We start from the raw sequence: 15,219 nt of genomic DNA, 5'->3' as shown, positions 1-15,219 counted from the left end.
AGAGTGTTTCATACCAATTTTTGATTAATTACTTTATCTACATAGAAATTTACTATTTGGGCTGGGCATGATGGCTCACGCCTGTAATCCTAGCACTTTGTGAGGCCGAGGTGGGTGGATCACTTGAGGTCAGGAGTTCGAGACCAGCCTGGCCAACATGGCCAAATCCCGTCTCCACTAAAAACACAAAAGTTAGCCGGCGTGGTGGCACGTGCCTATGATCCCAGCTGCTCGGGAGGCTGAGGCACGAAAATCACTTGAACCTGGGAGGCAGAGGTTGCAGTGAGCTGAGATCGTGCCACTGCACTCTAGCCTGGGTGACAGAGTAGAACTCTGTCTCAAAAAAAAAAGAAAAAGAAAAAGAAATTTACTGTTGGAGGAATTGACTACATTATGTCAGTGAAAGCCATAAAGGAGAAGATGAGACAATTATTTTACTGTTGTCATCATAGCAAATTGTCCAGTTGAATTTCTACCATTTAGACTGTATATTAAATCTTTGATAAGCCAATATTTAATATCTATCCTATACATTGAAAAATTATTTACAAACTCCATTTGTAAAACAGGAGCCATGCTTAAAGTCAGGATTTGATATTTCACTTTTCGTTATTATTTATTGTGCTCCATATGACATTGAACAAACAGCAGTGCCCGTTAAACAATAATTCACTGTAATATTTCCCTATATTTCAAGTTCATTTTCTTGTCTGACTTTGCCATTGCTTTCTGACTTACTCAAAGGCAAGATTGTATTTTGTCCACTGTGGCATCAGTGGTACCCAGGACAGGCCTGTTACTGACTGGAGGGGAAAAGATCAATGAAGGTGATGGATGGATGGAAGGATGGCTGAATAGACAGATGGACAGATAAATGGGTGAGTGACATAGAGCAGTAGAGACTTCTCGCAGTCTGGGGTATTAGAAACTTCCTCAAGGAACTGGCATTTGAGCTGAATCTTACAGGCTAAGGAAGATTTAGCTGTATGAGGTGATAACAAGGGCAAACCCAGGCAAAGCCAACATCCTTAGCAAAAGCTCAATGGGCCAGAAAAGTGTGACTGCAGGAGAGTTGGCAAGCTATGGAGACATGGAAAGAAAGATTGACGAGAGAAGATACGTTTGACGTCTTTTGGCCAGGCGTGGTGTCTCACACCTGTAATCTCAGCACTTTGGGAGGCCGAGGCGGGCAGATCACAAGGTCAGGAGTTCAAGACCAGGCTGGCCAACATAGTGAAACCCCATCTCTATTAAAAATACAAAAATTAGCCAGGTGTGCTGGTACGTGCCTGTAATCCCAGCTACTTGGGGGGCTGAGGCAGGAGAATTGCTTAAACCCGAGAGGCGGAGGTTGCAGTGAGCTGAGACCACGCCATTGCACCCTAGCCTGGGTAACAGAGCGAGATTCTGTCTTAAAAAAAAAAAAAAAAAAAAAAAAAAAAGACACGTTTGATGTCTTCTGAGCCCCTTGGAAGGGGTTTCAGCTCCTTGAAGGCATGGCCAGTTCATGGTTGCATTCCCAGATCCTAGCACAGTGCCTCTTGCACTGAAAGAATGAAACAATCAACAATCCATGAATGAAGGTTGGTCCCTGGCCACTTCTCTGAAGTCATCTCTCGTCACCCTTTTCTGGCCCCTCCATGACGTCATGTAGATATTCTTGTCTTCTCTTCAACATGACTCGGAGCCTTTGTATTTGCTTTTCCCTCTTCTGTGCTCCGCCCTCACTGACCTGCCTGCTCTTCCCCTCACATGCCTGGAGACCTTCCCACTTGCCATTTCTTTGATCTTTCTGCTTGGAAAATTCTTCCTGCCTATCTTCATTTGATTCCTCCCTTCATTTGAATCTCTGTTTAAAATCTCTTTCACTTCTTTGAGAGGCCGCCCTGCCAGCCTATGAAGAGTTGCCTCTCTCCAGTCACTTCCAAATCCCCCCAACCTGCTTTGTTCTTTATAGCACATACCACCACCTTATATCATTAGACAGTCGTTTCTTTATTGTTGACTGCCCCCCACTCCTCTTGCTAGAATCTAGTTCTCATTCAAAAGACCTCACATAGTGGTAAGGACTTTTCTTATTTACTGCTAATCCTCTGAAGCCTAGAACAGTGTTTGAGACATAAATAATAGTCAGTAAATATTTGTTGAGGCCAGCGCAGTGGCTCATGCCTGTAATCCTAGTGTTTTGAGACATAAATAATAGTCAGTAAATATTTGTTGAGGCCAGCGCAGTGGCTCATGCCTGTAATCCTAGTGCTTTGAGACACCTAAGCGGGAGGATCACTTGAGGCCAGGAGTTGGAGGCCAGCCTGAACAAGAAAGCAAGACCCTTGTCTCTACCCACCCCTACCAAAAAAAATTAACTTGGCAGGATGTGGTGGCATGCGCCTGTCATCCCAACTGCTTGGGAGGTCGAAGTGGGAGGATTGCTCGAACCCAGGAGTTAAATGCGGTAGTGAGTTATGATCACGACACTGTACTCCAGCCTGTGACAGAGTGAGACCCTGTTTCTAAAAATAAAATAAAATAAAAATAAAAATATTTGTTGAATAAGTAAACAAGTAGTTCAAATAATTTATCCTGCAACTTAAGTTTTTTTAATAATCATACTCCAATTTGCCTTTACAGTAACAAAGTCTAAACTTTGAGGGTAGAATGGACCACATTAGAATTGTCTTTTCCAATCAAAGCACTTTAGAAGATGAAAATAATGAGACAGGTTAAGATCAAGTTGGAGACCAGATCACATAGCTAATTGGAGAAAAAGCCAGAATGAGAAAACCTGGTCTCCCCGAGCCTGGCTTACCGCAACCCACACCAGTTCTTGCCATCCACTCTCCGTACAGGGACCAAGGTGAGCTTTCTAAAAGGTAAATGTGACCTGCCTCTGTCTAAAACTGCTCAGTGTGTCTCCGTACCACTGTCCAATGGTCTAAGCTGGCTGAGAAGGGCAGCCAATTCTGCCCTGTCTCCTTTCTTTACTCCTCCAACCTCACCCTCTATGCTGTCTCATATATCTGGGCCTCTGTATACATCCACATTTATGCCTGGGCTTATCATTATCTGCATGGTAATTCTTACCCATTCCTCCTTCAAAATTTTATTTTGAAGGCCTACCATTATTTCTCCAGTAAATAATTAATTCCCACTGGGCGTAGTGGCTCACGCCTGTAATCCCAACACTTTGGGAGGCCGAGGTGGGCAGACCACTTGAGGTCGGGCGTTTGAGACCAACCAGCCTGGCCAACATGGTGAAACCCTGTCTCTACTAAAAATACAAAAATTAGATGGGTATTGTGGCATGCGTCTGTCATCCCAGCTACTCGGGAGGCTGAGGCAGGAGAATCGCTTGAACTGGGGAGGCAGAGGTTGCAGTGAGCTGAGATCGCACCACTGCACTCCAGCCTGGGTAACAGAGCGAGACTCAAAAAAAAAAATTTAATTCCCTTTGTCTAAACTAATTCTAATGCTAGTACTTGTCTTATCATTGAACAAAGAATGTGGTGGAGCTTTGTCATATTTTACTATCCAGTATTTAATAACCTCTTCCTACTTGGAGGGGTCATGTCACCCTCTCTGCAACTACAGACAACAAAGCAAAGGCATCCTTTTCCTCACTCCACACCCAGCAGCCAGGGCACAGGCGCAGGACCAAAGACTGGCAACCAGGAGCTCTTGCCTAGAATTCTGACTCCCGGGTGCGTGCGGCAAAGATAAAAGGAGGGCTGGAACCTCCTTGTGCAGCAGCTGTGGCCTGCAGTGGACCCAGCCTGGTAGCAGTTACTGTGGCTGTGTTGGCCGGCAGGCTTCTGAGCAGCCTGTTCTTGTTAAGAGATGGCTGTGGTTCTTCTTCCTGCTTCTTGGACCACACACCAGCTCAGGTCTTTCAGTCTCTGAAAGTCTCCAATTTCCTTTCAGTGAATTCTATATCTACTCATATTGCTCATGGTGGATTTCTGTTGCTTACAATCGAGAAGGCAGGTGTCTCATACTCACAGCAGTTCCTGGCCCAGAACTGTACAAAATAGTAGGTGCTCAGTAAGTAGGAGTTCATAGTAAAGGTGAAAATACTTGAAAATGAGATACATTGAAGTAGGCCAATTAACCTAAATTGTAAACTAGACCACTGTGCTTCATTTTTTTTTCATTTAACATCCAAATTATGGAACCTGAATGACATGAGCAGCCTCAGTAGGAATGACACCAGAGAGACAGAGCTTTCAAAAAATTACACTTATCAAAGTCTTTAGGAATCTCTCCAGATTATTCTCAAACAGCCAGCTTCTTGGCAAAATGGGAGCTTAGTGCATTCTGGTAGACTGTTTGACTTGAAGAAAAGACTGTGAGAGCAGAGGTATTCAAATGTGTTCAGCAGTGAGCACAAATGCCCACAATGCCATGAGCTGTCTACATTTTCAATTGAGAACTATGCTGAAAAGAACAGCCTGACAAGCATCTTAAAAATGGATTTTTAGCCATGATAAAAAATCATTTCCCCAAAAGTTAATAATCTTTAGCTGTGTAGAGTGCAATATTATAATCAATTTTATTCAGTCAGTGAAAACATTGATATTTACCATAGTGAACTAATTTCAAAAGCTGTACATTCAATATATTCATGCCAAAGACATCTCACTCAATTTTGACTACACAAGAATATCCCTAATGGAGGCTCTTGGCATTGAATTTAATAGACTCGAGGAAGACAATGTATTTTCACAGAGATATACGGGTGTCAAACATAGGCCAGACTTTGATCCCATAGCCGAAACGCTGGAGGTATCAATAATAAGATGTCTTTGTAGTGGGTTAATCAGGTAAAACATTTTGTGCTAAACGTTTTAGGCAAATTGCATTCTGTGGATAGATGGGCACTAGGTCATCATACTACCAGCTCCCTGAGGTCTCATATTATGTTCACCTCTGTATACCTTTCACAGCCAGGTATAAACACACACTTGCATACTCCAGCACCTACCACTGTGGCTAGCACATAATAAATGCTCAGTAAATGGTTTCACGTGATTGCATGAAGACCTGAACTTGGAATGAAACTTCCACCTGTTAGCTCCAGGCTCTTGCAAATGGTAACCAGGTACCTAGGAGGCTTAGACGGGGAAGGCAAAACTGAGGACCTATCACGTAGCAGGCCCCTTACAACCTGCAGTGCTGGCTATACCTCATTTTCAGATGTAGAAATTGAGGCTCAGAGAGATCAGCCACAGAATTAGTGAGAGGTAGAATCAGACCTTGAACTTAGATCTCTGCAAGTACAAATCCAGTGCCCTTTCTATTCCACCAGGGCTCTTAACTGGGGACCCCAGGGAACCCATAGAAAGCATGTGGGAAACGTTTATGAGGAGGGTCTGAATCTTCCATTGCATTCCCAAGGTGGTGCATGGCCTCCAAAAGGCTGAGAAGTGAGCTTGTGGCTGTATGCAGGCTCTGGGCCGGCGTCAGCCTGCTGCAGGAGAGAAGTAGAGGGTGCAAATGGAAGTGGAGGATGGTGGTATGTTGTTCCACTCACAGTTTCAACATCCCTCCGAGCCAATATACCAACTCTATGGGGTCCTGGGGTCCTGCCCCCATAGGGTATCATAGGGTGACAAAAGACCTGATCCAAGTCCCATCCACTGTCCATGGTATTTATAGACACACTCTACTCACATAAAATACTGACGTTTGTGAGCGCGCGTGGTGTGTGTGTTGGGGTGGGGGTGGGGGATCAGAGAGACCACGGAGACATGGATAGGGCCTGCAATGATTCTCTGTGTAGTGGTGATGTCACTGGGTTGTGATCTAAAGAGGAGAGAAAAGTCAGCAGAGTTCATACCCTAGGGATGCAGTAAGAACGAGCTATTGATGGATTAAATACTGAATCTAATTTTACTCCGGATCTCTGGGCCACAGGCCTTCTTGGGTGTAAGACAGAGATTGAAAACTCTGTTTTCTAAATTTAACAGGTGTTGGCCAGGCGCAGTGGCTCATGCCTATAATCCCAGCACTTTGGGAGGCCAAGGTGAGCAGACCACCTGAGGTCAGGAGTTTGAGACCAGCCCAGTCAACGTGGTGAAACACTGTCTCCATTAAAAATACAAAAATTAGCTGGTCCTGGTGGCAGGTGCCTGTAATCCTAACTACTCGGGAGGCTGAGGCACGAGAATCACTTGAACCGGGAGGTGGAGGTTGCAGTGAGCTGAGATTGCACCACTTCACTCCAGCCTGGGTGACAGAGTGAGACTCGGTCTCAAAAATAAATAAATAAATAAATAAATAAATAAATAAATGTAACAGGTATTTATAGAGTATTTGCTGCTACCGCTAGTCATGGTACTGGGGAGCTCTGTGTAATATAAAGAAATAAGGAAAATTCTTTATGTGTGCATGTTACGCAAACAAGTCATCACAGCTCAGTGTCACAAGTCCTACACTAGAAAGATGGTAGGGTGCTGTGGGAGCATCCCCAGAGGAAAGGAAGATGATACCCAGGGGAATGAGAAGAAGTTCTATTGGAAGTAACATGTCACTTCAATTAAATAAACACATATCAAGTGCCAGGCACTGTATTGGGGATGGAAGGTGTCTAGACACAGAATATCTGCTACCAAAAAGCCCAAAGCCAGGCCCACAGAAGCACAAGAATGACAACCTGCTGCAACAAAGGCAATGTGTGTAAAGTACAGGGTGGCACAGCTCTGGGAGCAACAAATTGTGTGTGTGTCCTAGGGAAAGTGATGTCTGAGTTAGGATTGGGAGGATAAACATGAATTTACCAGCTTTCTGGTAGAAAGAAGCACGGACACAAATGTGATAGTAATAGTACGTACAGAACATTGACCAGGGGCCACGCACTGTACTAAGTGATATTACTGACATTATCTCACAGAGCCCTACTACTCAACTCTTTGAGGCAAGCACTACTACTCTTAGTACTTGTGCACTCTTAGTACAAATTTCTTCAGACTTTTTTATGTACACAGTCAGGATGTGGGTAGATTGCAAAATAACCAGCAAAATTCTCCTCCTCGTACCCATGTGCTTCAGTAGCTCTTTCCCATACTGAGTCTTGACTTGGTCATGTGGCTTGCTTTAGCCAACGGGACCCATCCCTGCTCTCATTCCCCTCTCCAGTAAGACGGAACTCTCTGCAGGTTAAGAGTCGAGGGTCTGGAACCAGACTGCCTGGATTCAAGCACGCAAACATGATGCAAGGGGTTTGAAAAGCATTTATGCCCTGAGGCTTGTCCCCTTTGCTGTGCTTGTAGCCGTGACACTACTATTTGAACACGCTTGAGCTAGTTTGCTAGGGTGGCCATGTGAAGAACTGAGGAGCCTCAGCAAATTGTCAGCCAACCATCAGACATGTAAATGAGGCTATCCCAGAGCATCTGGCCCCAGCTGATCCACCAGCTATTGGTGGCTGCAGGACTGAGCCTAAGAGAGACCAGCAGGGGAACCACCCAGCTGAACCTAGCCCAAGTGCCGACCCACAGAATGATGAGCTAATGAATGATTGTGGTGTTAAGCCATTAAGTTTTGGTGTGATTTGTCATACAGCAAAAGCGAATTGATAGAGGGTGCATCTTCCAAAGGACAATGTTTTGCAATTAAAATCAGCAGAAATTCTTTTCTTTATCAGGGCTACATAAATTAATAGTGCATCTTACAATTGATGATTTAGATTTGATGCAATACAGTATTATATTCACTCAGCAGATAAGAAAGACAGGGATTTGACAGTTACTTGCCTTGGGTCTGAACTAGTGAGTAGTGGAATTGGTTCCAACCTGTGTGACTCCAGACTTTTTACTCTTGACTACAGATAGCTGGAGAGGAAAATGATATGAACTTGTTGGCGGGGAAAGCAGGGTCAGGTTATGAAGGGTGCCTTAGAAACCCTTGCAGAGGTTGAATTTTACTAGTTGGGAATAAGTGGCCAGTTGAGTGGGAAAAATGAAGTAATTATCATTTCTTTTTGACATTGACTACATAAGATCTTCATATCACTTCCAAGAACAAAAAAATAGAGTGCTGTGGGGACGCAGGGTGGGGTCTAGACGCCCTGGTTTGTCAGCTCTGTGTTGGGGCAGAACTGCAATGCCAGGAGAAGGCCTGAGCAGTGAGTCTGGGAGAGCTGGAGTCCTCCAACCCAGAAAAGAGAGGGGAAACCCTGGGCAGCTGCGGCCTAAGCAGCTGTGGATTGTTCTCCCACATGGAGTGGATGAAGCCAGTGGATCAAGTGCATGTTAAAACTAAAAGGGGTGTGGAGAAAGGGACTATGACTTCATTAGGGCCACTGAAGACCACAGGATAATTATCAGTAGTGTTAGAACAGTGTCGGCCTGGTGGAAATGCTTCTTCTTCACTACCGCTGAAGCCCAGGAGAGTTGAACTAGCAAGTCCAAGCAGTGGCATCATAACGGTGCAAAAAGCATTGCCAACGGGAGTAGATTCATTGCGAGGCTCACATAGCTTGATTTTTAGGGCTTCTCATTTATAGAAGCCCCTTGTGAGACCTCGGGAGGGGCTCTGGCAACCTAGTCACATGGTTAAATGTTTCCACAAAATTTGCAAAAGTAAGACCACGTAGCTGCAATCAGTTGATACAGCACATAGCACAGTTGGTGCACTCTATGCAAAGTCTCTTCTGTCACCACCTCATCCCATTATGGTGCTGAAGTGACCAAGGTCATCTTTGGAACCCAGCTAACAAGAGCTGGAGCTGAACATACATTTCTTTGGGTCTGGGGAGATGTAGTTACGGAATTCACAGGGACTTGCATGTATAGCTCTAGCTTTCTCCGCACAGGAATGCCTTCAGGTATATTTCTCCACCCTCTCTGTCAACTTATCTAGCATCCTGGCAGGAGGTTCAAGGCCAGAGATCATATTTCCCCTCTCCTAAGGCATCTTAGGAGATGGGCAGGGGAAGAGAAACACGGAGTGAAATGGACATAGCCGGTAGGTTTACCACTGAAAATTTTTCCAATCAGCATTCATTTAAAATGAAAAGCAATGAATTTGGTACCCATCCACATAGTTTTGATTTTGAATCAAAACTAACAATGTAAGAAAAGCCCATCAATCATGGTAGAGAAAAGTCCGAATTTTCTTCCTGTAGAAAATTATATTATAAAAATGTCACATGTGGCCTTCCTCCTAAAAACCTATAACCCCAGTCTAATCGTAAGAAAAACATCAGACAACTCCCAATAGAAGTATGTTTTACAAAACACTCACCAGTATGCCTCAAAACTGTCAAGGTCCTAAAAAACAAGGATAGTCTGAGAAACCGTCACAGCCAAGAGGAACCTAAGGAGGCGTGATGAGTAAATGCAATGTCATATCCTGGTTGGGATCCAATGCAATGCCATAACCTGGTTGGGATCCAATGTAATGCCATAACCTGGTTGGGATCCAACGCAATGCCATATCCTGGTTGGGATCCAGTGCAATGCCATATCCTGGTTGGGATCCAGTGCAATGCCATATCCTGGTTGGGATCCAATGTAACGTCATATCCTGGTTGGGATCCAATGCAATGCCATATCCTGGTTGATATCCTGGGACAGAAAAAGGACGCTGGGTAAAAACGGATGAAATCTGAACAATGGATGGGCTTTGGTTATAATAATGTGTCAATATTGGCTCAGTCATCATCACAAATGTTAATCTAAGATGTTAATCAGTGGAAATTGGGTGGGGGGTTTATGGAACTTGGCAATTTTTCTATACATCAAAAACTGTTTTATAAAGTTTATTTAAAATGTCGCATGAAGAAAACATTCATTAGTACACAGCCCAAAACACAGGAAAAAAACTTATTAGAGTGGTAGGAAAAAAGAATTAATAAAATTTTTAGGTGATTTTTTTCTGGATTTTGTGAAATTTATGATTGCAATTATGTGGGCAACATTTTTTCCCTTCCCTACTGCCGGAGGCCCTAGAAAGCCCAAACTTTTAAAATTTGTAGTTTACTGTGATTTCTGTTCTAATTCTAAAGGAAACATTCACTTTTGTATCCAACTTTGTATTTGTAATTTTCTTATAGAGGTTCCCTAAACTGTGTAAGTTTAAGGCTCCAAACGTGGATCTACCCTTGGTTGACATCGAGTAGTTAGAAAAATGTGTCCAACTCAACAATTGAATACCTACTCTGTGTAAATGAAGAGGACGTGCAGGGGAGTAAGAAAGACTGGGATGGTTCATGAGGATTCACGGGACACACTGCCTCCTTCCAGTCCCTTACAGTTTCATGGGGGCATGGATGTATGCCTAATATAGTTGCAGTCCCAAAATGGATTGAACAAAAAGAACTCAGTTACTGATGCCAATCTTCCTTTAACCAGCCAATTACCGAGGTCTGTAATTAAAAGCTCATCGGCCATTATTAATTGATGTGGCTATACTTCAGATAGCCATGCTCAAAAGCAATAGGTGCAGAAGATTAATAATAATCACAGCTTTGTAGTTCCTAATCACAAGTGGGAACTTTTGAGACAAGGCCACTGTAAACCTGCTAATCAGCTTGACCCAGAAAGACTTCGATTCTTTTTTTCTTTTCTTTCTTTCTTTTTTTTTTTTGATGTGGTCTTGCTCTGTTGCCCATGCCAAAGTGCAATGGTGCAATCACGGTTCACTGCAGTCTCGACCTCCTGGGTTCAAGAGATCCTCCCACCTCAGCCTCCCATGTAGCTGGGACTATAGGCTACAGGTGCACACCACCATGCTGGGCTAAGTTTTGTATTTTTTGTAGAGACAGGATCTCGCCATGTTGCTCACACTGGTCTCAAACTCCTGGGCTGAAGTGATCCGCCGACCTTGGCCTCCCAACATGCTGGGATTACAGGCATGTGCCACTGCACCCGGCCCAGTTCTCTTTAGCTTCTCCAGGAGATTGATCAATCGGTGTTAGGCAGATGTCAATGTGGATTTAGCCAGAATTAGCCACAACATTTTAATCAGGCCAAAATGTAACAAGGGCAGGAGTGACCGAAAAAAGACTCAAATTTCCGCTAGGAAATTTGCACCACTACAATATCCAATTGGCTCTTATTCCCTTGGCTAGAGAGATGCTTGAAAAAAAAGACAGTAGAAAGGAGGGTTAAGACTGGTTTCTTAAAGAAGTAAGTACAAGGAAGTATAAGTTCATGCTGCCTGCTTCTAAAAGAATTCTATTCCTCATAACTACATAACATTATAATGCTACTGATTCATAAGGAGTTTAGATTAATTCTATTGGAGAGGACACCAGGATTATTAGTGTTTATTTTCATCTAGGATCTTTATTCTTTAATGCTGTTGGTCCCACAGACACATTTCAGTATACAAAAACACTGCAGTGTTAATAGCCAAAAGAAAAGCCATTATGATGTGAATAGTGGTCATTGTGATCACTGTGACACAATTTTTAAAAACTTTTTCTTAGAGACGGAGGGTCTCACTATGTTGCTCAGGCTGGTCTTGAATTCCCGGACTCAAGCAATCCTCCTGCATTTGCCTCCCAAAGTGCTGGGATTACAGGTGTGAGCCACCGCACCTGGCCCAATTTTTAAAAACAATCATGTCCTTCATTTAAAAAAAAAAAAAAAAAAAAGGCCGGGCGCGGTGGCTCACGCCTGTAATCCCAGCACTTTGGGAGGCCAAGGCGGGTGGATCACGAAGTCAGGAGATCGAGACCATCCTGGCTAACACAATGAAACCCCATCTCTACTAAAAATACAAAAAACTAGCCGGGTGTGGTGGTGGGTGCCTGTGGTCCCAGCTACTTGGGAGGCTGAGGCAGGAAAATGGCATGAACCCAGGAGGTAGAGATTGCAGTGAGCCGAGATCGCACCACTGCACCCCAGCCTGGGCAACAGAGTGAGACTCCGTCTCAAAAAAAGAGACTGGTTTCTTACCTAAGTCACAAACTCCCAACTATAGAGTCTGGAATCTTCATTTAATGAGAACGCCAAGGGCGTGGCTGTCAATCCTATGACACCTGTCTGAGGTAGGTATTATTCCTGATTTAAGGAGGATGCAATGAGGCTTGATGTGGATTCACCCACCCCAAAGCCTGTGTTCTTAACCACTATGCAATACTGCCTCCCATCAAAGTCTCTATCTCAAGTCCACAAGACAACCCCATACATTGTAAAACTTTTTGGAGTGATTAGATAAAAACTTTTTTGTTTTTTTTTAAGTGTGTGTGCTGAAAGAGACCTAAGAGATTATTTAGCCAAGCCCCCTTATAGCCTGAGGAGAAATCTAGGTTCTAAGGAATGAAGTTGCTTCCCAATGTCACCTAGAAGTTCCTGCCAGAAGGAGTGTGAACTCAGGTCTGATACTGGGTTGTGTGCCTTTCCCAGCCTTGAGTTGGAAATCACCTCATTAAGGGCTAGAGCCCAGGGAGAGGCACCCAGTTTAAAAGAAAAGTGTCTTGAGGAGAAGACGTAAGGTGAGACAGCCAGTGACGACCATCCACATGTTACGGGTTGAATTGTCACCCCCACATTCCCCAAGTTCATATGTTCAGGGGTTTGTTGTTGTTGTTGTTGTTGTTTTGAGACAGAGTCTTGCTCTGTCTCCCAGGCTGGAATGCAGTGGCGTGATCTTGGCTCATTGCAACCTCCACCTCCCTGGGTTCAAACAATTCTTCTGCCTCAGCCTCCCGAGTAGCTGGGACTACAGGTACGCACCACCATGCCCCGCTAATTTTTTTATTTTTAGTAGAGACAGGGTTTCACCATGTTGGCCAGGCTGGTCTTGAACTCCTGACCTCAGTTGATCTGCCTGCCTCGGCCTCCCAAAGTGCTGGGATTACAGGCATGAACCACCGTGCCTGGGCATTCAGGTATCTTAGAATGGGACCTTACTTGGACATTACCTCATGATTACAGAGGTCATCAAGTTAAAATGAGGCAATTCGGGTGGGCCCTAGTCCAGTATGACTGGTGTCCTTATAGAAAGAAGGGATTTGCACACACACACCACAGGGAAGATGGTGTGAGGAGACATAGGGAGAAGATGGGCATCTGCAAGTCAGAGTGGCCGGGCACACATGCTCTTTCATGGGCCTCGGAAGCAGCCAGCCCTCCCACGCCGTGATTTTGTACTTCTAGTCTCCAGAACCAGGACAGACCATACATTTCGGTTGTTGAAGCCACTTAGTGTGTGGTACTTCGTTCCAGCAGCCCTTGAAAACAATAGACCACAGAACTTGGGAGGTGCCTGCAGAGGTTCTGGGGCTGAGGGACCGGTTGGAGAAGAGGAAAAAGGAGAGGCAAAGATGACAAAATCACGGATGGGGAGGCGAGATCTGGACAGAAAAACCAGGGATTAGCCAAGCGGGAACCAGTGAAAACGAACGTGGAGTCCATTTTTTCTAGATCTGGAAGATGGAGATCTAAAAGGACTGAGCTGCTAGAGAGGTTGCTGGTGTGTGCGTTGTCCTCACCCCACTGCACCACTGCGCCCAGCACACTGTGGGAGACACCCAGGGAAAGTCCTTCAGTTATTTGTGGGAGTGAACTGCAGTGTGGCTGAGGCCTGGAGCGAACCACGGTCAGTTTCCCCTGCCTGCAGCCCAGGCATAGCCCTGCGTTGGTTGTGCCCACACTCTGGGGGCAGCCTGAGTGCCAAGTGTGGTACTGCTCTCACTAGCATTTAACCTCTGTGCCCCAGCTTCCTCTTCTGTGAAAGGACAGTAATGACAGTACCTACCTCACTGGGTTATGAAGATTAAATAGAATAATGTGTACGCAGTGTTTGTAGCAATGCCTGGCATCAAGCACTGGGTAAACAGTATCTATTATTATCAAAGGCCTTTACGACAACAATCATTCTTCAAACGGCCCTCCAGCGAACGCTGGGCGCAAACTCCACGGTAACGGGGACCAATGTTGTTAGAGGTTGAGGTTCCTGGTAGGTCCCAGGTGCTAAAAGGAAGAGCAGCCTTTGGGATGTGAGCCCGAAAACCATCGTGTTGGCTTCTGAAGCCCCAAGATGGGCATGGCAGGGACGCGGAAGCCCTCAGAACCGCGGAAGCCCTCAGAACCGCACAGCAGGTGGCCGCCGTGGTGCAGCGCGCAGTCGGCCCTCAGCTCCCCTGCACCGGCGCGAGCTGCGGGCGCTGCCCACGTCAGGCTCTGCAGACACCAGACAGAAAAGGTCTTCCGGCCAGGGAGCGTGGGGGAAACCCTGTGGGGCCGCGCCCGTCAGTGTCAAGGAAAAACGGAGAGGAAGGCCCTTGCCTCCAGGGCCCTCGCAGCAGAATTCTGCCCGGCCTGCCAGGAGGCCAGCGGGGCACGGGCTGAGGGTGCAGGATCCGGAGGGCGCCGCCCGCCCCTCGGGCATCGCGGGGCCCAGGGTCCGCGGGGCCTCTGAGCTGAGGCGGTCCAATGTACCCTTTGTCCTTCCTCAGATTCATTATGAAATCCGAGGCAGTCTGGGCGACTCCAGCGGCGTTCGCCCGCCGCAGCCTCTCGACCGCCGGCCACCCGCCAGCCACGCGCGCCCAGACAGGAGGGCGGCCGGGCGCTCGGCGGGGCGGGGCCTGCCGGGGGCGGGGCCTGCGGGCGGGGCGGGGCCGCGGGAGGGCGGGGCCGGCGCGGCGAGCGCACCAGCAGCATCCTGGCTCAGCCGCGGCGGTGGCGGGGGCGCAACCAGCGGGCCGAGGCGGCGGCGCCAGCGGCGCCTTAAATAGCATCCAGAGCCGGCGCGGGGCAGGGAGTGGGCTGCAGTGACAGCCGGCGGCGGAGCGGCCGGTCCACGGAGGAGGTGAGTGCGCCCGCCGTGCGGAGCCGCGCCTGCTCCCGCGGCGGTGCCCGGGCCCCGGCCGAGGCGCCGGCTGACGTTGCCCTTCAGGGCCGAGCCCGGAGCAGCGGCCGCCGCGGAGGCGCGTGAGCCACCCCAGGCTCGTGGGGCCGCGCCGCCTTTCCGGCCTCCTGCCCGCGGCCCCGCTTCCCTCGGCAGCCGGAGGCCTCCGGGGTGCCCGTGCTGCCGCAGCTTCCTGTGTCTGAGTCGCGGGCGGCGCGGGCGCGGGGCTGGTGCGCGGCCGGGGATGCGCGCGGGACCGACCCTTGTGTGTGCGGCGGCGGGGACCGGCCCGGCGAAGCAGCCGGAGGCCGCGCTTCGGCTGGGAGGAGGTGGCCCAGCTGGGCCGCTGACGTTGCCCTCGTCCGCGGCCCCCGCCTGCCCAGAGGCCGGGCTCGCGGGCGTTCGGACCGCGCGTGGGGC

The 15,219-nt window shown here is 47.3% G+C and overlaps 1 protein-coding gene and 1 long non-coding RNA gene across 14 annotated transcripts in view, besides 5 other annotated features; one reads left to right on the top strand and one right to left on the bottom strand.

Moving 5' to 3' along the window:
• The window catches only part of LOC105377587 (uncharacterized), an 18,036-nt gene extending 3,531 nt beyond the window's left edge, over positions 1–14,505 (bottom strand). The window contains exons 1-2 of one of the 2 annotated variants that reach the window (XR_939564.4): positions 13,705–14,505; positions 9,241–9,563 (exon numbers count right to left, since the gene is read on the bottom strand). This is a non-coding gene — a long non-coding RNA (uncharacterized LOC105377587). Of the gene's footprint in view, positions 1–9,240; positions 9,564–10,155; positions 10,586–13,704 lie in introns of those variants that run through there. The other variant, XR_001741947.1, reaches the window with a different exon arrangement.
• Positions 13,530–13,809: an enhancer, noted in NCBI's record as "active region_22242". NCBI's record gives its function as "activates an Ori minimal core promoter by ATAC-STARR-seq in GM12878 lymphoblastoid cells {active_cell/tissue: GM12878}" and the evidence as "EXISTENCE:reporter gene assay evidence [ECO:0000049][PMID:35858748]".
• Positions 13,530–14,139: a biological region, named in NCBI's record as "H3K4me1 hESC enhancer GRCh37_chr4:185747691-185748194".
• Positions 13,636–14,139: an enhancer, noted in NCBI's record as "H3K4me1 hESC enhancer chr4:185747691-185748194 (GRCh37/hg19 assembly coordinates)". NCBI's record gives its function as "activates a minimal SCP1, AML or CMV promoter by ChIP-STARR-seq in naive H9 embryonic stem cells {active_cell/tissue: H9 hESC(naive)}" and the evidence as "EXISTENCE:reporter gene assay evidence [ECO:0000049][PMID:30033119]".
• Positions 13,980–14,029: an enhancer, noted in NCBI's record as "active region_22241". NCBI's record gives its function as "activates an Ori minimal core promoter by ATAC-STARR-seq in GM12878 lymphoblastoid cells {active_cell/tissue: GM12878}" and the evidence as "EXISTENCE:reporter gene assay evidence [ECO:0000049][PMID:35858748]".
• ACSL1 (acyl-CoA synthetase long chain family member 1) overlaps positions 14,082–15,219 on the top strand; it is a 71,000-nt gene continuing 69,862 nt past the window's right edge. For 11 of the 12 annotated variants that reach the window (NR_167702.1, NR_167703.1, NR_167704.1 and 8 more), the window contains exon 1: positions 14,708–14,760. The gene's annotated coding sequence lies outside the window, so the exon portion shown is untranslated. Of the gene's footprint in view, positions 14,152–14,707; positions 14,761–15,219 lie in introns of those variants that run through there. The other variant, XM_017007887.2, reaches the window with a different exon arrangement.
• Positions 14,260–15,219: a silencer, noted in NCBI's record as "silent region_15844". NCBI's record gives its function as "represses an Ori minimal core promoter by ATAC-STARR-seq in GM12878 lymphoblastoid cells {active_cell/tissue: GM12878}" and the evidence as "EXISTENCE:reporter gene assay evidence [ECO:0000049][PMID:35858748]".

The sequence above is a fragment of the Homo sapiens genome, chromosome 4 (genome assembly GCF_000001405.40).
Source record: "Homo sapiens chromosome 4, GRCh38.p14 Primary Assembly".
Taxonomy (NCBI): domain Eukaryota; kingdom Metazoa; phylum Chordata; class Mammalia; order Primates; family Hominidae; genus Homo; species Homo sapiens.
The sequence above is the reverse complement of the archived record's forward strand: the minus strand, read 5'-3'. Positions and strand labels throughout refer to the sequence as shown.